Raw genomic sequence first — 20,822 nt, forward strand, 5'->3', positions numbered from 1 at the left:
TGGTAAGTGAATGATCCATCACCTGGTCTATAGTAGCTGCTCAATAAAGACCATTTTTCTTCTCAACATTTCACATCCTAGAATGCCAACTCACTATGAGAAGCAGGAGTTGACTCTTTGATTTAAGCTTCATTTTCACACTCTTCTCAGTGTCCCCTTACTCAGACGTACCATTGTTATTCCCTCCTTATCACCTCTTCACACCCTAGGTCTGTGAAGTGCTTGTGCCAAGCACTTGCTCACAGTATTCCAGAGATCCAGAGACCTTAACTCCTCTGAGTGAGGTCGAAATGCTGACTGATATGTGACCTCTTCTTTACTCAGAAACCCTCAGACGGGGCATAAACACCTATTCGGTCATTGTTACCCAGCGCTGGTCTACTATGTAACACTCTGAACCTGCTGGTTCTGAGAAACCTGTGCTTGAGAGGACAGACTCCCCTGCCACATCTATGAGAGCAGGACCCATTAAGGCACTGTTACAGGGAAAGCTTTTTTTTTTTTTTAAACAAACACAATAAAACACATCCATCCAAGTGACTGCTGTTCCATTCACAGTGTCTATCAACATTCAACATTCAAAGCGTATCTGGAGCCCTCTCTGAGAACTGCTCTTTGACTCTGTTGAAAGAATTCACTCATTCAACAAATAGTCCTTGAGGGCCTAACCATGGGTTAGGTGCTACATCAGCCACCAGGGATGCAGACCAGAGAAAGAGAGCCCACTCTGCCCTGGGTGCCATTGACCCATTTGGCACCCACCATGGAGGGGAGAGACAGATACAGCAGCGCCTTTCCACACTGGTCAGCACTGAGGGGCCAAGAGCACGAAGCCTCCTCGGGGAGAGTGAAGAGAGTGAAGGGGTGAGGCCCACTTCTTCCCCTGCTTTGGCTCATAGTCAACAACAGGAATTCATGGAGTTTTTTCCTTTGGCCTCCACTTCCTGTTTACACTGCTCTCTGTAAACACGAAGCAGAAGTCAAAGGAAAAAACCCCATGAATTCCTGTTGTTCTTGACTATGAACCAGAGCAGCTTCCTGCAGAGCAATGGCAAGGTGGAAGCGTCTAACACACTGACACCTGGGTTGTCAGAGGCTTTTGGTCAGCCAGGTTCTCTGCCCTCCACCTACTCATACCCCAGGTCACTGAGAGGGGACTGCATTCTCCCTCTGCAAGACAGCCTATCCTGGCTTGGGTGAGTGTGCATATATAGGCAAACACTGACTTATGTCGTTCTCATTTTTACGGCTGAATAGTCTTGAGAAATCGTGCTTGTTACTAGTGATACTTTTTTTCTCCTCCTTTGACATCGTTTTATTGAAGTCATTCACAGAGAGATTAATGATATTTTTCTACAGGGAAAGGGATATGGAGCACTTCTGCCCTTAGCTCATCTCTTGTGAGATGAGATTACAGGCAACTTGAATGTTTGTCTTCTGTAACAGGGTTTTTTATGATGACAGGACCTATGGACAATTCTTTCTTTCTCATGTGTTTACATTCTGGCATCACTCACTGGAGCCCTCTGCCCCAAGATCGTAAGAGGAGAAACCCAACGTCCCCGGAAGATTTTACTGCCATGTCGGAGAACCACTCTGGCGTGATACATTTTTAAAACAGGACCATAAGCAAGAGATATTTGGAGGTACTGTTTAGGATTCATCTGAGAATGGTGGTAGGAAACTGCAGCTGTCTCTGTAGGAAAATCCCATGCTGCACCCTGACTGAGTGGGGCCTCTCTGTTCTCTTCAGACTTCTGAGACTCAATTTCCTCTCAATTTGGCAGAACTCAGTTCAGCAATGATTTCTCTTTTTTAGAGGGTTCCTGAAAACCAAAATGCTCTCGAGATCCTAAGATTCCTAAGGAATGAATCTCTTGTGGCGGAATGTCAGGTACCACAGATCCACCGAGGAAGTGAATCTAGTCAAGAGCGGAAGCCTGCTGGTGAAAGGTGGTCTCCTCATCTGTAAAATGGGTGTGATACTGTTCACTTCAGAGGTCTTTTAGGAATGTCAGCACAATGCTTGGTACACAATAGGTGTTCAATACCTGGGAGCTACTGCTAACAGCAACTTTTGAACCCCTGGGTGTAGGCAGCTCATGAGACAGGCCCTGCCCATTACAGAGTAAGACGCATGGTGGGAATACCTCTGTAGAAATGTGTCTTTTCAGGATTGAGGGCACACTCCCCAACTACCAGAAGAGGCCTTTTCTTCCCAGGACCTTCCCTGTCACCACTATAAAACCTGGGCTGCATTACAGAAAAGAAGCCATCTGACCTTCATTCTACTTTGCTTAATTCCTTCCACAATCTGTTCCATCTGACGTAAAAACTGGTCCCGGGCAGCAGGGGAGGCCATGGCCCTGAAAGAAAAACCAGTAGAGTTATGACCGGCACACAGGACTCTGAGGCAGGGGGAAATGCCAAGCAGTCAGCTCTGTATCCAGATTATGACTCTTAGGAGAGGCAATCAGGTCTTTGTAACGCACAGTGGAGCCACGGGGGCCCCTGGGATCCCAGGCAATTAAGGATGCTAAACCTCTGAGAAGGCATGGAAATTAGCCTGGTCTTATAATTGCATGTTAATCTTTTTTGTCATACTTTCCCTGTAACTTTCATAACTAATATGTATTTTCTTGCAGTAAAATGTGACTAAAATTAACAAAAACATTATTTATTTGAAATACGGCATGTACTGCATAAGTAATGAATTTCATTTGGTTTACAAAATTTGAGGATTGGCAGATACTTGAAACTGGGAGACATATTCTGAGATTTCCTAAAACCAGGGGAAGCTGTGGTTTTTTGTTTTTTTTTTTAAGAAAAGAAGCTTAAAATCTAGAACCTGTAACTCAATAAGATGTCAGTCACAATGTGTCCGCTGTCATCTGCCAGAGGACAGCAGAGATTTGTGCCAGAGAGAAGGGCCTGCCAGAGGACAGCAGAGATTTGTGCCAGAGAGAAGGGAAGCATGCTCTCCAAGGAGCAAGTCCTGGGGCTGCTGGATGGTGGGTGGGCAAATGGACATGCTTGAGGGCTTGATTTGGGAACAGGTGGGCCTTGACATCTAGTTTTTAGAGAACAATGTACACATTAACCAAAAAAAATCTACCATGAGATTTAAAAAATCTAAAAAATTATATAAATTCCATTATGTAAATTTTAAAGCATCTCTATGTGTTCATTAACAAATATTAATTTGATAACATACAGAGAGATTTTAGTAGGTGGGTACAGTCAAAGTATTTGAAAGTTAACTTTTTTCGTCAGCTCTTCCTTCACTCTACTATCATTATAGTTTTGCAGGTACTCAAGGAGAGTGTAAACAAGATACTTAGCAGAAGGGCTAAAAGAGTAAGAATCACATACCCAGTGTTAAGTCTTGCATGTACCTTTGTCAAGCACATTATAGCAATGTGAGGTGGGCTGAATTCAAAGCGCAGGCCGGCAGGGTATTAGTGGGAAGGAGGACTGACAGTACTTACTGTGAGAAGTTCTCATGAATTGAGTTCAGCAGACTAATCTGGGGAAGTAAAAAAACAAACGAAATTATAAGACAGGCAAAAAGATTTCCACACTACTGCAACTGCTGCAAGCTTGCCTGTCTCCACATACTGCTTCTGCAAGGAACACATGCCTTGTTTATGAAGATTAAAGTAACATATGAAAAAAAAATTAGCCACATGTTCTGTCTCACAGATTTCCTCAGGGAATCCACCTTCTTCTCACAGAAAATTCCCTCTTCCTACAGGGCATTCCCACAGGAATGTAGGGAGAAGGTGCTTTGAAGGGAACTGGATCCCAGCTGAGAGGACACTAAGCTAACACTAGGGCTCTCTAGGCAAACTGCCACCACAGCCCTTTCTATCTTGCCAAACACTGCACTTTATTTTCAAGGATAACAGCTTACGGGAGTCAGACAGTGTGGAAAGTGAGAGTCGTTTACACCCTATTCCTTCCCACAGAATCTTCTCGCCAATGCAACAAGCTAAGCTGCTGGGTGGCTGAGTGCCTCCAAGGGGATGCACTGTTCAAGGCCCCGTGGACACTGCCTTAGCCCCGCAGCAAATCCTCTTATCTGCCCCAATGATACAGTCCTGGGAAGGGCTCTGAGGCAGGAGTAAGGAAACCTGGGTCATCTTTCTGGCCATAAAACTACTCAATTTGGGGCCTCAGAACTAAGTAATTACCATATGTGAACTTTAGGTTCACAGTCAGCAATGTAGAATATTTCTTGTCCTTAGTACTCCACAGGAAGGTTTTAAACTATCATAGGCATAAATCCATTTAAAATAAAATACCAAATTTATTCAAATGTAACATTCTAACTGGTAACATGGCTTGGAATTAGAAAGCCCAGCTCCCCAGTCTGCCTCGCAATATTCCTAGTTTTTAAACAGTGGAACAACTTTAAACACTGCTGATGAAGGAAGGTCAATGGGGTTTAAGGTCTTTGGGAAGGGGCTGGCCTATCCCTAAGTCAGGGTTGGCAAATCTTTCCTTTGCCAGGTAGGAGGGCCCCAAGGCCAGGATGTGGGACAGAGCTATTCCCCAGGTCTGATGCAAATCCCATGAAATGCATTCATCTATTCAAACATTTATCAAATGTCTGTTATACGCCTACCACTGTGTAAGCCCCGGATACAGAAAAAAATAAAACAGCTTCCCAAGGAGCACCCTCTAGGATGACAGAGATCTACCTGGTTTGTCTGACAGCAGGCAGTAAAGGTGACAGTAATTACAGATGCCTCAATTTGGGTTCAGGTAAAAGATACATTTGTAATATTATCCTTATTAAAGTGGTAATTAGTGTAGACTACAAGGTGACAAAATGAAAACACATTCTATCAACCTCAAGGTGAGGGGGAGGGTAGGAACAAGTATGTACTGAGAATCCACCATGTGTAAGGAACTTTACATTTTCTCATTCTGTCCGCATTATAATCATCATCAATGCAATTAGGTGTCATCCCCATTTTACAGGTGAGAAAAAAGAGGCCACATTAAAACCCAAATAAACCCAAATCTGACTGACGCCAAAGCCCGTGTTCTCTTCAGGACACTATGCTGCCATGGTGAAGACCAGGACTGTTCTCTTTTTTAAATTAAGACATATCTGCATACTGTGCTCCAACCGTTTGTCATCAACTTGGGAAAGCCCTGAGCCATTAATTTAACCTGAGTTTTTAAATGTTAAAAAGAGATATACCTAATGCTAGATGACGAGTTAGTGGGTGCAGCGCACCAGCATGGCACATGTATACATATGTAACTAACCTGCAAATGTGCACATGTACCCTAAAACTTAAAGTATAATAATAAAAGAAAAAAAAGACAAGAAAAAAAAAAAAAAAAGACGAAGGGAGTGACAGTGACCCTTTCACCCCTGCTTTGAATTTTACAAACCTTTTAGTTCACGCCTTTGTCGGCCACTGATGATTAAACAGGTATTTTCTCCCTGTAAACTATAACAAGCCCACCACCCCCATTTCATTCAGCTGGTTCCTCCCTTCCTTTAAATCTCAAACTAGTCTCACCAACTCCAGAGCTTCCATTGTGTTCCTTTTAACAATGGCATTTCCCCCACAGCACTCTAGAATGGCTGTCTACCAGTCTCACTTCACAGCAGACAGTCTGGGTTCCCAAGGAATCTTGCACTTTCTGACTGGGTATGCCAGCACTTAGCATATAAAATAGGCACTCTTTCTGCTAATGCTGAACATACCTGTCCCAAACATCAAGTTCATTTGACTTCCTGGAGTCAACTGCACTGTTAGCTGCTTAGCCATTTTCTTTTTATAAATGTTCTTACCTCTTTTTCCAAATAAACCTTTTTATCATCCAGGGTATTATATAAAGTGAAGAACTGCTTGGTTTCTTTGTGCACTGCTGAAACTGTAAAAGTAAAGAAATCAGCACACGAATAAGAACAGGTATCAGAACACCCTACCTGCCCCTCTCCTCCATGAATGCACTGCCAGGACAACTTTGTCAGGCCTGGGAGCTCACTCTGCAGAAACCCCACAGCGTGCAAACTGAATTGCCTGGGAAGCTTTTAACAAGTCTCAGGACCAATGAAAGGAGAATGTTGAAGGTGGGACCCAGGTGGTGACAGTGAGTACCCAAAGTTGAGAATTACTCCCATAAATGAACCAGCCACCCTTACCTCATCCAGCCAAAGAACTGGGTGGGGGTTGTAGATATTTGATAATAACACATTGATACAGGTATTTTGATGTAACTGCTTGAAAATGTCCTTAGTGTAAACATGTCTTTATCAGATGATTTTAACCTGTGTGAAATTTGTTCTGTGAAATAAATAGATGCAGGTATTATTATTGCTAAAAGCTTTGAAACAAGCAGGAATAGAAAAGTAAAGGGAAAGATTTAACTTAAAGCAGAAACTACTTTCTGCTGAAAACTGTCACTGCTGATCCCTGCCTCTGATCATTTGAGTCCAGTGTGAGGACTGGATGAAATCCCAGCCTAGTGGGGCCGGGCACATGAAGGAAGTGTGATCTGATCTCCTCCAATAGAGCCAGTGCTCTACCAGGAAGGATGCTGGAGAGGCCAAGTCCTCAAGGCAAAATCTTAGGTGGATTTTGAAATACCAAGTGGGAATTGTAGGATAATGGCACTATGGACTCAGGTACCAGCTCACAGGCCAAGATGCAGATGTGCAAGAGGGGTGAAGCTGGGTGAAGTGGGCCAAGACGATGCAGGACTTAGTATTGTGTATTTAGGATTCTAAAGATTACCCAAGAAGTTGCAGGGAGCCTAAGTATTACAGCTTTTAGAGTAAAATGATCAAATATATGTTGAAAGAGATCTAATTAGACTCTGAGCAGCAAAGGAAGGTGGCTACAGCGCAGTCCAGAAGAAATAGACTTGAAAATTACTAAGACACAGAATTGGCGAGCAGCTTGAGTCAGAGAAGAAAGAGGGGTCCAGTTTGCCTAAGAGGAATACGGAGTAGGAGGGCCGAATTCAATTTTGTACCTGTTGAGTTTCAGGTATCATGGGGACATACAAGAGTAGGAGCCTGGAGAAGAGGTGGTCACTTCTTGCCTGGGGTGGGGTGCCTAGAATAGGTTTACAGGATCTGAATTGGGTATTGAAGAATTTAGCCTGACAGAAGAAAAAGGATCCAGGCACCAGGAACAGGAGGAGTCAAGGCTAAGACGTCAAAGCTCATGGTTTGTTCAGAGGCAGTGTGTGGACTGGCAAGGCCAGAGTGAGGGTTCAGATCAGGAAAGGGGCCTCCAGGCAGGCCACTCAGACTGGGGAGGAACCCAGGCATGGTAAAGAAAGAGGCTCTATTCAGTAAGGCCTGAGGAGTTCCTGAAGATTTGTTAGCAGAGAGAGAAGTGACAGAATCAGATGTGTGGCTAGGGGACTTGGAGGCACTGCAGCTAATGGTCATTTAGCTGAGATATGATGCAAGAGCAGATGTGGCAGGAATGTTAGGAAGAAAAAGGCAATGGCAGCCTTGAGGGCCATTCTGAGCCTCATGAGACATGATCTCTTATTCAGGCTGAGGGGGTCATGGTCCTGGGTTACTGGGTGAATATGATGCTGTTAAGGGTTAAGGACCACATCAGCAACAAAGTCTGTAGAGAAGAACAATGAATGAGGACTGATCTCTAGACACCAGGGTCACGATGTTCCGTGTGAAGTTGGAAAGTGGTGTGGGAGCTCAGGGGAAGGCTGTGTGGCTGACCAGGATGAGGGCTGCTTTGAAGCTTTAGTCTAAGAGCTCAACTGGTTCAACTATCTGTCCACGGAGAGGGCAGTGAGAGCACCACAGTGCTGCTCCCGGGACTGCCAAGTGGGCCTGCTGATGAAACGGAGCTTTCCGGTGGTGGCCTTTGTGGACTGTGCTCTGGTGCATGCTCCCCCATGCTAAAGTGGAACAGACCCCTCGCCTGTCCCTTCCCAGCCTCAAGAGCTTGTCTGTGGTCAATGCACCTACTCTGGCGGTAGAGTTCAATAAATCTCTTCTGATACTGTATTAGCTCGGCACGGCTAGGGACTTCATCAATCTTGCGGTGCAAAATTGCTATTTCTCGATTTCTTCGAGCCTAAATGCAAAAGGGAGACAGAGACAGTACTATTTGGTAAAAGGCCTTACATGTTCTCTAGGGAGCCAAAATATTGCCTGCACCCCGACCTGAGCCCAACCATGCGCCCTACAATGCAGGCACAAACTCCTGCCATGGGCTTAAAGGTCCCCATCTCAGATTTGGATTGACTTTCCCGCTTTCCTAGGAGTGGGAGGTGGTGTGACTGTGAACTGAATCACAGAAGGCACCAAATGAGTGGACCAGGAGGGAAGATACTGAATGGGAAGGGCTTCTATGGACAGAGCCGGCAGCTACCCACCAGGCCCCCAAGGAGTCTAGAATAGCCAGCTCCACCCTGCCAGGCAGGGACAGGCAACAAAAGGAATGCTTCAGATGATGGGAAGCTATGCCACCTTGCCGCCTCCACATACATCCCAAATTCCTCATCCTGGTTAAAAAGCTCCTGCAACCTACTCCTCAAATACTTTCTAGCATTTTCTCCCTTCCACAGACTCAGGAAACTGCCCTACTGACCGGGTCTGGGAGGCATGGCACTGCTGTGTGGTGTGGCATGGTACAGGGGCAGCTGCAGGGAGAGCAAGCCGCTCACTTGTGCATGGCTCCCACTGAACACGTGTAGACTCCAGACCAAGCGGGCTCTGAGTGCTGCCTTTCTTCTGTGCCTGCATCCCTTTGTCCACCATATCCTCCCACTCTCCTGCCTGCTTTGCCTGCAGCAGCAGATGTGAATCTCTAATTCACTGGGGAAATAGGAGCCTCCTGGTGGGAAACCCACATTCAGCTCTGGTGACCTAATCCAAAACTGGGTCTCTGCAGCTCCAGGGAGAGGGAAGGATGTATTTCTCCCTTAGGCCAAGGCTACGCTCCCCATGGGTGCTCAGGCTCTGACTCCTGGTTTTCTTTCAGGAGTCTTAAGATACAACTCTTCAGTCTTTTACTGCATCTGTAACTTTTCACTGGCTACTGACCCTTCTCATCAGCATTTAAATACATTCATGTCCTCACTCCTTAAAAAGCCCTTCTTTAATCGCCATCACCTTTCAGCTACCAGCCTCTCTCTTCCCTTTTACAGGGAAGAGAAATGTACTGAGAGCCATGCACATGGGAGCCTCTGTCCATGCCAGTCCCTCTTCAACCCACTGCAACTAGGCTCTCCCCAGTGCCCCACTGAACTGCTTTTGCCAAAGTCACTGCACACCTTCTCAGGGACACATCTAATGGACAATTCTCAGCTCCTAGCCTTCTTGATTTCTAGTGGCACTTCCCCTCCTCTCAGCTGAGCTCTCTGCTCGGCTCCCACAAGCCTCATGCACTTGTTTTCCCTTCTGGCTGCTCAGGTGCATCTTCACTGGGAGATCCCTTGTTTTGCTCTGCCTATCCTCACATGTGCTCACCAGGGTGTAGTCTCAGGGCCTCTTCCACATTCCACAGCCCCAGTCCTCATCAACACTGCAGACACCCAAATCTCCAGGCCATACTATTCTGGGAGTCAGAGCTGACAACAAAGCACTCCTTGGACATTTCAATGTGGTTGAGTATCCCAACTTTGAAAAGCCCCAAACAGATCTCATTAACACTCCTATTTATTATACTCCTCTCGCCCTTAACCCTAGTCCATTAATTCTCTTTTATGCTTCTCCTCTATGAATAACACAAATATTATTCACCCTTGTGTCAGAAATTCCAGCATCATCCTTGACTCCTCTTTTTATCTCAGATGATACTAAGTTCCATCAGCTACAGCCCTGCAATCTGTCCCATCAGTTCATTTCCATGCATTCTACAGCCACTGCCTAACTCAGGCCCTTGCCCTCAGCAAGCCACTGGCTTTACTGAAGCTTTCCCCTAGCCAGTCTGAAGCTGCCCTTAGAAAGCAATTTGCACATAATCTCCCTTGAACTTTGATGTATATATAGACATGTCTTGGTTCTCAAATAGCCAGCATGTCCAGGAGATGGGTCATCCTATTTATTAGTTATGGGACCTGATCCAATGCTGAATACATATAAAGCACTCAGTCAAAAAGTTTCCAAATATGCAGCTGTACTGTCCCGATTTTATTTAGTTCTGTGCCTCTTTAAAGATTAGTAGTCTGTAACAAGGACAAATTTGACTCACTCTAATTTAACCCTCTCAGCTCAGCAAAGTAAGTAGGTGCCAGAGAGAGGGGAAAGGGGCTCTCACTGGCCTCTGCAGCCTTTTGGCCACTCCTACCCGAGCCCGGCCTTTCCCTCCCAGGGAACAGAAGGTTGGCTTGAACCAAAGTGTGACACAAGGAATTTTTGGCTTTTGAGCTTCCATGAGCCAGATCCCAGCAATGTAGGGGATTTTAAATGTAATTTTGACTCTGCATGAATTAAATTTTAGAGCTAATTTTGAAACCTATCTCCCCCATATTTGATGTCACTCTCACAAACTGCCGGTTATCCAAACAAACAAGCCAATTTCTTCATAAAGAAAATGGGATGTAATATCCACTCTCCACCTGGGGTTAGGATTAACTCAAAGGAGTGGTTGTGAAAGTAATATACCAACAATGTGAGATGTTAATACCAACATCTTAAATCACTGAGTTACACTCCAGATAGAAAGAAGACTGGGGAACAGCAGCCTCATTACTTATTTTCTCTAGTTCTTAGATATTGAGACTTTCTAGTTATGTCATAGGACATTTATACCTAGTTAGAAGCATTTATGCATATTTTTGTCCTTCTTTTACTCACCTGTAGTAAACGTATCTTGTAAAGTTTCTCTTTCTCCATATTATACCGTCTGTCTAGGTCTTCCTAAAAATTGGAAAAGGCTGTAATTATCTGGGAATAGAAAACTTTCACTCTTTAATGGAGTCTTTGAAAGTTGAATATGTTTTTATCATATCTCCCCCATCCTAAGGCCTTAAATTTCTCTTCTTAAATGCCCAAGTTTACTGTCTGGGTCCTGTCTCATATGAGACCCTTGATACCCTCTCATATCATGTTATAACAACTCTTCCTTCTGGGACCCAGGGCAAATCCAGTATTCTTAAGTGAAGTAACCTCCAAATGTATATGCCCTTCCCCTGCAAAAACCTATGATGATGTAGAGACAAATCATTAGTTAAAGAATGTGTTGTACTATGCCTGTGTTTGGAGATGATGCTAGTTTTCTATGTTTCTACTTAGAGCTGTGTTATCCAATGTGATAGCCACTAGCCACAGCAGACAGTGCGGAACAGAACATTTCTATCACTGCAAAAAGTTCTTTTGGACAGCATTGATATAGAAAATAGAAACTAGTCCCTCATTGAACCCAGCAATGAGACATGGCTGGATGAGACATGGTAAGAGACATGGCTGGATGGTTTGTCGCCTCAGAGAAAGTTACAAAAGGGGTCAAAGGAGTGCCTCCTTCCTCAGCATAGGGAATATAAACACACCCCCCTACCCAACGCACCCAAGGGGCTCAGCTGCAGGCAAAATCCAACAGACTTCACTGGAAGAGTGCTGAAGCTCATTCTCCTGGGAGATTACGAGGGTACAAAGGGAAGAGGAACCCTTAAAGAAGGCAGATGCTTACAGTTTTCCTGCTTTTCCTTTCCTCCACTTCCTTTCCTATCTCTTTCTTCTGGAGGGTTTTGGAATGCGGAGAGCACTGGTTTAACTCAGAAGTGGGTGGCAAACTACAGCCTGTGAGCTAAATCCTACAACCTTTGGGCCAAATATGCCTTGTGGCCCATTTTTGTAAATAAAGTTTTATTGGAACACAGCCATGTCCATTCATTTACAGATCAACTATGGTCACTACAGCAGAGCTGGCTCACAAAGCCAAAAAGAGTTACTATGTGCACCTTTATAGAAACAGTCTGCTGAGTCTGGTATATAGTACAACAGAGAGAGAAGGTTTTCCCCTCTGTACCACCCCATCCCTCAGAGCCCGAGTGGTGACCAGCATATGCGGCCAACGCAGGCCTCTCCCCTTCCCAGCTGAGAAGCCAGCATGAAAACAACATGCTTGTACACAGAACTGGAAGAAAACCCATCAGAAAGGTGACCTTCAGGGCCATTCCTGGTGAGACCCTGCCTCCATCTGAGGCCTAGCTGTATCAAACAGGACAATGCCCTGGAACGCCTAGATGTGGAGTTGGCCATAGAGCACATTAAAGTAGGCATGAGAAGCCATCACAGGAGAGTGGAAAGCTGGCCGCCTGCCCTCAGGAGACAATGCCAGTCCTGAGCAGGCAGGTACTTACGTCATGAGTCATTGCAGAGGTCAAGGTACCAGGCGGCTCTCCACTGGAGAGGGTCTGAAACAATGAAAACATAATAAACACCTCTCCTGAGCATTCGGGAATAAGACAGAAGCCAAGGATCTAGATGTAGGAAGGGGCCAGGCAGGGGCATAAGGGTGCAGCTGAGAAATGTGTTGATGTCCCCCGAGCATGTCTGAAGAGAGCAGAAAGGGAACTGCCCTTAGATGAGCAGCAGATTTTAAATTGTTCTTAGGTGTCTGTCAGTTACACACTAACACAGTAAACCGTATAGCTCTTTTTGAATGTAAGAATCTCGCTAACAAGATGTGCTGAAAAGAGAAATGAGATCTTAAGAGTCTAATTTGTGCAGAGGCTCAAAACTCAAACTGATGATTTGAGCTTTAAAGGTTTAAAGTTTTAGAAACAACAGGAGAGGTGGACTGTGCGACGATGAGCCTGGGATACCACTGCCTCCTAGGCTCTCCTATTCACCCATGCCAGTCCCCTCACAGATGTGAAGAGTTGTATGGCTCGGGTGAAATAATGCAACCACTCAGGAGAGTGATAACGGCCCTGCAAGATCTTCGTCTCCCCGCTGGGCATGGCAGTGTCCTGTACAGCCATGGGCACTGTCCAGTGCAGAGTTCTGGGCCAGGCAGCAGGGCATGCGGTCTGGCGTGGGGTGGCTGGACACTCTTGTCCTCCCTAAGCCTCAAGTTCCCTGTTTCTTACAATTTAAGGTTCAGTGAAAATTCATGCTAGCTCCTTGGAAGATCAAGTCCTCTGTTCAGAGAACCAGCTGTCCAGGTGTGTTCCCTAAACCCAGACTGCTCCTGCAAGCCTAGGGTTCTTCTGTTAAATCCAACACTGCTCTCTCCTTCTTCATGTTTGTTGCTGCCTTTTGGGAGTGGGGCATTATCCCTGAGCAGGAAAGGAGAAAGGTGAAATGAGTAAACTGGCAGAAAATTTAAGGAACGGGTGAGCAGGAAATAGAGCTCAGACTTTTCCCAGAAACATCTCCCTAAACAGAGGGAGGCCAGAATTGTGTAATCTGGTAATTCGTGTCTGGGTTGCTGCCTTCCACACCCTCTGCTGCCTTCTACTCCCAGAGGAAAGAGAGAAGAGATGGATACAAATCTAAGAAGGTCACAGAAGGAAAACAGTTGAGGAATGTCTATTTACAGGATAAGTTAGCAACAGCGGTCTGCTCTTTGGTCCTCTAGAACTATCTTTTTCCCGTAATAGCACCTGAGAGTCTCAAGGACTAATTCAGAGCCTTTACCTTTTCATCTCCACGTGGTGCTCTCTCAGCTTTCAGGTTTTCAATTTCTTGCTGTAGTCGTGTCATCTCCTCCTTTAAAAGTGACATGAACTTTTACAAAATTCAGACAAGGAGTAATTAGACGCAATTATTCAACTATTTGGTCCACAAGTCTTATTTTCACATTTCATGAGTTTATTCTGGGACGAAAAGCTAATGAGGTAGCTGCCCTGATCTCCAATTATCAGCCTGGGAAAGTTCTTTTCAGGAGGCTACAGGCAGCTATTCCTCCATCAAAAGAGGTCCTTCTTTCTGAAGGGCTGGTGAGGTATACAGTAATCACTGGGCATTGAAATGAACAAGTGATCTAGAGCCTAGTTCCAGTTAGTCTTGTCTGTTTCCTCTCTCCAGCAGGCCTCAACCTTATTCAGCTGTCCATCTTCCAGCCTGGAGCTCTGCCTCATCAAGTACCTCCTCCACTTGCTGTCCTCCTTGGCCCTTAAGTAAGATCTAGCTTTTTGGTGGCTCCTGTGCTGAAGTGCCTTTTCCTCCCCTGGAGCTCACACAGAACTTGCCAGGCCTCATTTCCTATCTCACACTAGAGTTGCCAGAACACGCATCACCCCCACGACTAGACTACAAGTTTCCAGAAGATGACAGCCAGGACTTACACATAGGACATAGACATCCCAGGTTTTCAGGACAGCCCTGGTTTTGTATGATGTTACCCTTTTCACAAAGGCCGTCTGTCAACAAAATATATTTTTGCAAAAACTTCATAAGACTTTTCTTTCAAATACCAAAGTTAGGTGACATTGTTTGTTTTGGGGTTTGGCACAAAGTTACTAACCATGGTGCTCTATTCAGCTTATACAACTGACAAATAACTGCTGGATGAATCTGCTTTTTTTTTTTTTTTTTTGAGATGGAGTCTCGCTCTGTCACCCAGGCTGGAGTGCAGTGGCGTGATCTTGGCTCACTGCAAGCTCTGCCTCCCAGGTTCACGCCATTCTCCTGCCTCAGCCTCCCGAGTAGCTGGGACTACAGGCGCCAGCCACCACGCCCAGCTAATTTTTTTGTATTTTTAGTAGAGACGGGGTTTCACAGTGTTAGCCAGGATGGTCTCGATCTCCTGACCTCGTGATCCGCCTGCCTTGGCTTCCCAAAGTGCTGGGATTACAGGCATGAGCCACTGCGCCTGGCCAAATCTGCTTTTTAAACTGCACTGGATAGGATGCCACAACAGGACAACGGAGGTAAACCAAGAGATTCAATAAGCGTCCTGGTTTATTTGCTGACACCAAACAACACTTACTCGACAATGTGCTTTAAATTCCTGTTCTTGACTTTTCAGATTTTCATTCATGGCTACAAGTGCTCTCAGGTTCTGTAGGATACTGAAGAGAAAAGACAAAAAAATGACATATGGCAGGCCATTATGATTTTATGAATCGCAGCTAAAAGCAGGTCCGCAGCTAAAAAAGGACTCTCCTTTTAATTTCCTTTCTCAGCTCTAAGAGTGTCTCACAGATTCTGCACAAATGATAATGACTTCCATTTAACTGACATTATTATTCATTTATAAACCCAAGACCATCAATGCCGGATCCAAGAAAACATTACAGATTCCACAATTAAAATGTCAACTATAGAAACATCAATGAGTTTCAATAGTACCAGGTATATTTAATGATACCAATTATTCAACTGTATTCGGGGCATATACAGTATTGAAAACTATTTTTAAAATCCATTCTGAAAAGGAAACAAGTTGCTTAAGGTCATTAAAAGCACTAATTTGACAATAAAAATATCAACTATCTGACAGTGCTTTGCTCCATTTCATGAAACAAAGGTTTCTAATTATAGAGTCAAGTTACCTGTGGGTACTTTTTGCTAAAAATGTTCATCAAACAAGCACTGCTCATTCTGTGCCTGCAACTTTTTGATTTCATAGTCTCATTCAAATAAGCAGCTCCCAGGAGACTTTACCACCCAAATAGTCTGAAGCTAAAAAGGTCAAATGTTAAGTGCTTTCTCTCCTCTAATGCTCTAATGACAATTAATTCTACATGAAAGAACAAACAACTACAGCAGCAGCTGTGTCTTGACAGAAAAGACTGCACCTTTTCTACCAAGGAGGCACGAGCTGTTTAAAAACTTGTAACAATAGTGAACTCTAGGGAAGAGAATTGGGTGGCTGGGGACAGGAGTGGGAGGAAGATTTTTCACCATATGCCCTTTTCTGTACTATGAAGGTATGACCATTTTGAAAAATAGAAAAACAAAAAACTATGCTGCTTCTGTACACAAGGGGTATTGGGAAAAAGGTGACTAACCCAGGGCAGCCCAGGCACATCTCAGCATGGCAGAGTCACCACTTTCTGGATGAACAGTAAAATGATCTGACCTGCAGGGGCCAGACCAATAGCCTTTGGCTGCTTTGTTCTGTGTTTAAACAAATTAAGCCAACAAGTATCAGCAAAGTCACTTTCATCAAAGCAAAAATAAGCACATGCTGAAACCTCTTACCTTGGATCAGCTTTGGATTCTATCTTCTCGAGGGCTGCTTGCTCTTTGTCCAGTTTCTCACTGTAAGTCTTCAGCTGCAAGAGAGAATGAAGACATGGTTGCTGGAGCCTTGGTAGCAGAGGTGAACAACTTCACCTTCTTTTTGTGAGGCAGATAATGACACTTTTTAAAGAAGAAACTTAAACTTGGATTTTAATGTGTAAAGTAGGTAATTACATCATACAACAGAATACTAAGCCAATATTTTAAAAAAGAATAAAGTAGCTCTTTTACAATGATCTCTAGTATCTACTGTTCAGTGAAGAAAACACCGTTTCTCCAAACCTACACCCTTTGTACTTTTTGAATTTTGTACGATGTGAATGTGTTACTTATTCAAAAATTAAAAAAAAAAAGTTTTAAAAAAGTTCCAAGAGGTCTAGTTGAAAATAGTAGACTAAGCACAACTTGCAGCCACCCCTTCTTGCCCTAAGACCCCCAAACATCCAGACTATTACATTAGAACACAAGAGTTTAACCTCACAGGCCAAAAAGGATGGTTAACAGACAGGAATGGCCTCAGGAAGAAGCTGTGTGGAGTTAGCAGACGTAGGAAGGACTGGTGTGCAGTGTTGGGGATCTGCATTAGGAATAGCCACATAGGCTAGGCAATGAAACCTGACTCTCTTAAACACAAGAGCTGGTGCTTAAGTCTCAGAGGCAGGGCGGGGTCCCACATAGTTGGTGATACCCAGCAGAAATGGGGAGTTCCCCGACCCAGAACATCAGTTACTACCGGCTGATCTCAGCAAACAGTAGGTAGATCCCTTCCAGAATAAACACAGGAAGTGGGCTGCATAAAATGCATGGATCCACAGAGGTGGTAACCCGAAATTTTAAAATTAAAGATGAACATATAACCAAGGATCATCAAAGAGCTGAAGACAGACATAACCTTAAAAAAGATGTATCAATTCAACAAGTCAATTCTGATCTTAATAGTTACAGAGCAAGCAAAACTAGATACAATTAATGTACTTAGACATAAAAGAATACTGCATAAAAACAATCAGCCTCACACACACGAAATTAGAGTTGTGACTGCTGAAGTTACAAAGCAGCCAATCTCCTGGCCTTTCTGAAGCAGTCATGCAGCCTCCCCCACAGGTGTCAGGCACCACTGCTGTCTGCAACCCTCCATGCCCAGCTCTACTTTTCCCAGATTTACTGGAAAGACACAAGTCCTCTCTGCTTTTCAGTGCCACTAGGTTATCCTGGAAGGGCAGGTTTTGCTGAAGAGGTCAAATCTGGGAAGCCTGGAATGAAAGGGTTCAGAGCGCTCATTCTGCTTACTCCTAACCTTGATAGGTAAGGAGAACCAGGCCCAGAGGTGAAAAACATTAATTACGCACAGGCTGACCAAATCAAGCTTCTTCAGAAGTTGTTCAGTACTAGGTTTTATACAGCTTCCCATTTTTCTAGATGGGAATTAGTCTGATTTTCCTATTAGATAGTAAGCTCCCAGAGAGGGCTCTGATGCCAGGCTGCCTGTATTTGAATCCTGACACCCGGCTGCATGGCCTCTCTGCCTTAGCTTTCCCATCTGCAAAAAGGAACGACGACTGCAGGAATGATATGCCCAGAGCAATGTTGGCTGCTGTTTTCATTTGAGGATAGTCTTATTACTGACTTAAATCACACCCTCCACCTTTCTATAACATGAAAAGGGCTCAACAAATACTTGATTTAGTATTTAGTATAAAAAGCTCCTTTATAAGTCACTTAGTTTATATCCTAAGGCATATAAATGTCTTAGAAAGCTGATATCAAGATATTTTGCCTTTAATCTCTTTCAGATTATTATACAAAGACAGATCCACGAATTGGCAAACTTCATGCCAGGGGCTCTGCGGCATTAAAATATCACAGAGGGCTCCCAACCCGCAGAGCTTGCCATCTAATCCGTAAGGAACCCAGTCACAGAGCAATGTAAAGGAAGCTAATCTGTCCAAAGGCAAGGCAGGCGTCTTTATGAACAATGAGAAAAAAATTATTCTAATTGACATTCATGTGCCTGCCCTTTTGAAATATTCTGACAATAACTGAAGAGGTTAGTCCAGACCAGAATTGAAAAGCTTTGTCAGGTTTACATCAAGGTGGCAAATTAAGTGCTACATATCGCTACAGAGTAAGAATTTTAAATTGGTAAATGTCATGTGAATTCTAGAAAAGTAGGGATACTGGGTTGGTTTCGGAGACGTCTTTGAAGATCCTAGCTTCCAAATCGTCCAGGAAGTACGAGGTAGGGACCTTGCAGCGAGGTCCTTCCATAGTACGGCTATAGTCCAAGCACCAAAATCACAAGGAAGACAGCTTTTCAAGTCTGGATGAGGATAGTTCTCTGTGGAAACCAAGGAACAGAAATATCTACACACTGCTCATGACAGAGGTGGCAGCAGAGGTGTCTGTTCAGCAATCACAAGTGGGAAGTGAGCAGCGACAATGCTGATGTGAAGTAGCACACTTGCAACCTGGACTACAGATTGAATCGCAGGGTTCAAATGCACTCCCAGCCCTCCTTCTCCTCCTGCAGCCCTTCCCCCACTCTGCCTAGGAGATAACTGGAAATTCTGAACAATTATATCACTCTGAGGTTCTCTCATCTTTCAAAAGACATCTCACTCTCAAGGAATTCAGGATCTTAGAGTTACTATACAAGCTGCTGTTTGAGGGGCAGGAGCTATTTACTGAGTGACACTGTGAGTTCTTCTCTGTGCCCCACCCAGCCTATCAGGCTCACCTTCCCAGGAAGCCTTTCCTGACCCTCGCAGCCCACAGAGACCCCTCCCACCAAGACCACTAAGGGACTAGAATGTGCAGTGTGGGCAAACTGATGACATGGGTCACGCACTACCATGTAACTGTCCTATGTCCTCAAAATGACTGCAGCCTCTGAGAACAGGATCGTGTCTCCCACACACAGACCGATGAAACACATCATTCCATTAGTGGTTCAGGTCAAAAACAATTCTTGACAAGGGCCCACAGAAGAAGGAGAATCTATCTGCTCACCTCTGTCAGCGTTTTCTTGGCTTCATTATATCTGGCTTGTAGGCTGGTGTGACTTGCTCGCAGCTGTAAATGAAAGATAAAAGACATATGCTCTCATTTGATCCTTATGACAACACAGATGTGAATTTCACAGATGAGAAAATGAAAGCTCAGAAAGATTTAAACTGAGCAAATGTGAAAATTTTAAAAGGGTTGCCAACAACAAATGAAGAAAAAAACCTCATATTTAATTAGCACCAAGTACATGTCAGCTGATGTACTAGGAATTTTGCATAAATTATATCACTGAATCTTTATATTCAGTGAAAAAAGACACTTTTCTTATTTTACAGATGAGGAAATAAAGACTCAGAGCAGTCAAGTTTATTTGACTAAAGTCCCATAGCTGATAACTGATGAGGCCCAGATCCAAATTCAAGTCCCTCTGACTTTTCAGTGGGGCTACAATCAATGCAGTTAACCCACTTGCCTGTTTGCAGAATACAAACAGCATTTCAGCACTTGAGATCCCAGCATAAGACTGGTTGGCAAATGATGACACATAGAAGATAGGATTCAGGACTTCAACACCAAGAGAATGAAAATAAATTACTTTTACTGTTCCAACTTACATAACTGTAAACTCACATCTTGAAAAAGTCAATTCCCTTTCTCTTGCTAAAACAGTATATCCTTGTGTCTATCAACTTTTAGAAATTTGAAAACATTCCTTTAAATGCTCAAAAGGATTGTGTATTTTCACTTTTAAGAAGGATACAAGGCAGAAAACCACCTTCAAACTTGTTATTAACTGGGTTCAAGTTAACAATGAGAAATTTTAACCTATATCTCAATGGTTATTTCAAAGTAACATGCCCCATCCTTGGGCCTGTAAGCAGCTTATTAAGAGTTATGTCACCTTCAGAAATCATTACTCCAATCTAGCTACTAGTCTTCATGACTGATAAATAGTTATAATTCCAACAAGGCCTATCAAGAAGCCAACTCAAGCTGAGAGCAATGTGATAAAGGAGAGAGAAGCAGGTGGGTTCTGGTGCCCCCCTTTTCAAAGAGAGCCATCTGTGCAATGACAACTTTTATTAGTCTGTTTGTGTAACTGGGAGATAAGGGTACTCTGGGAAAAAGTTTAGTTTTCTCTTTAAATCCCAGTGTTTTAACTGTTGATGTTTGCTATGGTCTGAATGTTAGTGTCTGCCCCAAATTTGTATCTTAGAACCTAATACCCAATATGACAGTTTCAAGAGGTGGGGTCTTTGGGAAGTGATTAAGTCATGAGGGCTCCAGCCTTGTGAATGAGATGAGTGCCCTTATAAAAGAGGCTCAGTCTGGGCAACAAAGTGAGACTCTGCTGTCTCCAAAAAAAAAAAAAAAAAATTAGCCCGGCATGGTGGTGTTCCTGTGGTCCCGACTATGTGGAAGGCTGAGGTGGAAGGATTGCTTCATCCCAGGAGGCTGAGGCTGCAGTGAGTTATGATCATGCCACTGGACTCTAGCGTAGATGATGGAGTGAGACCCTGTCTCAAAAAAATGAAAATAAAAGAGGCTTGAGTGGGCTCCCTTGCCTCCTTCCACCATGTGAGGAAGCAGCAACTAGGCATCATCTATGGACATCAGACACCAGATCTGTTGGTGCCTCGATCTTGGACTTCCCAACCTTCAGAAC

At 44.1% G+C, this 20,822-nt stretch overlaps 1 protein-coding gene across 6 annotated transcripts in view; it reads right to left on the reverse strand.

The window, feature by feature from the left end:
* The window catches only part of CCDC93 (CCC complex scaffolding subunit CCDC93), a 98,590-nt gene that overhangs the window by 17,733 nt on the left and 60,035 nt on the right, over window positions 1-20,822 (reverse strand). For 4 of the 6 annotated variants that reach the window (XM_011511359.2, NM_019044.5, XM_011511361.1 and 1 more), the window contains 10 exons: window positions 19,160-19,222; window positions 16,109-16,182; window positions 14,892-14,973; window positions 13,598-13,669; window positions 12,316-12,369; window positions 10,811-10,873; window positions 7,976-8,084; window positions 5,816-5,898; window positions 3,489-3,526; window positions 2,282-2,366 (listed from right to left, as the gene is read on the reverse strand). In XM_011511359.2, coding sequence (XP_011509661.2) covers window positions 2,282-2,366; window positions 3,489-3,526; window positions 5,816-5,898; window positions 7,976-8,084; window positions 10,811-10,873; window positions 12,316-12,369; window positions 13,598-13,669; window positions 14,892-14,973; window positions 16,109-16,182; window positions 19,160-19,222 — 723 coding nt within the window. Of the gene's footprint in view, window positions 1-2,281; window positions 2,367-3,488; window positions 3,527-5,815; window positions 5,899-7,975; window positions 8,085-10,810; window positions 10,874-12,315; window positions 12,370-13,597; window positions 13,670-14,891; window positions 14,974-16,108; window positions 16,183-16,271; window positions 18,489-19,159; window positions 19,223-20,822 lie in introns of those variants that run through there. The other 2 variants (XM_006712600.3, XM_011511363.3) reach the window with 1 other exon arrangement.

Source organism: Homo sapiens, chromosome 2 (genome assembly GCF_000001405.40).
Source record: "Homo sapiens chromosome 2, GRCh38.p14 Primary Assembly".
Taxonomy (NCBI): Eukaryota; Metazoa; Chordata; class Mammalia; order Primates; family Hominidae; genus Homo; species Homo sapiens.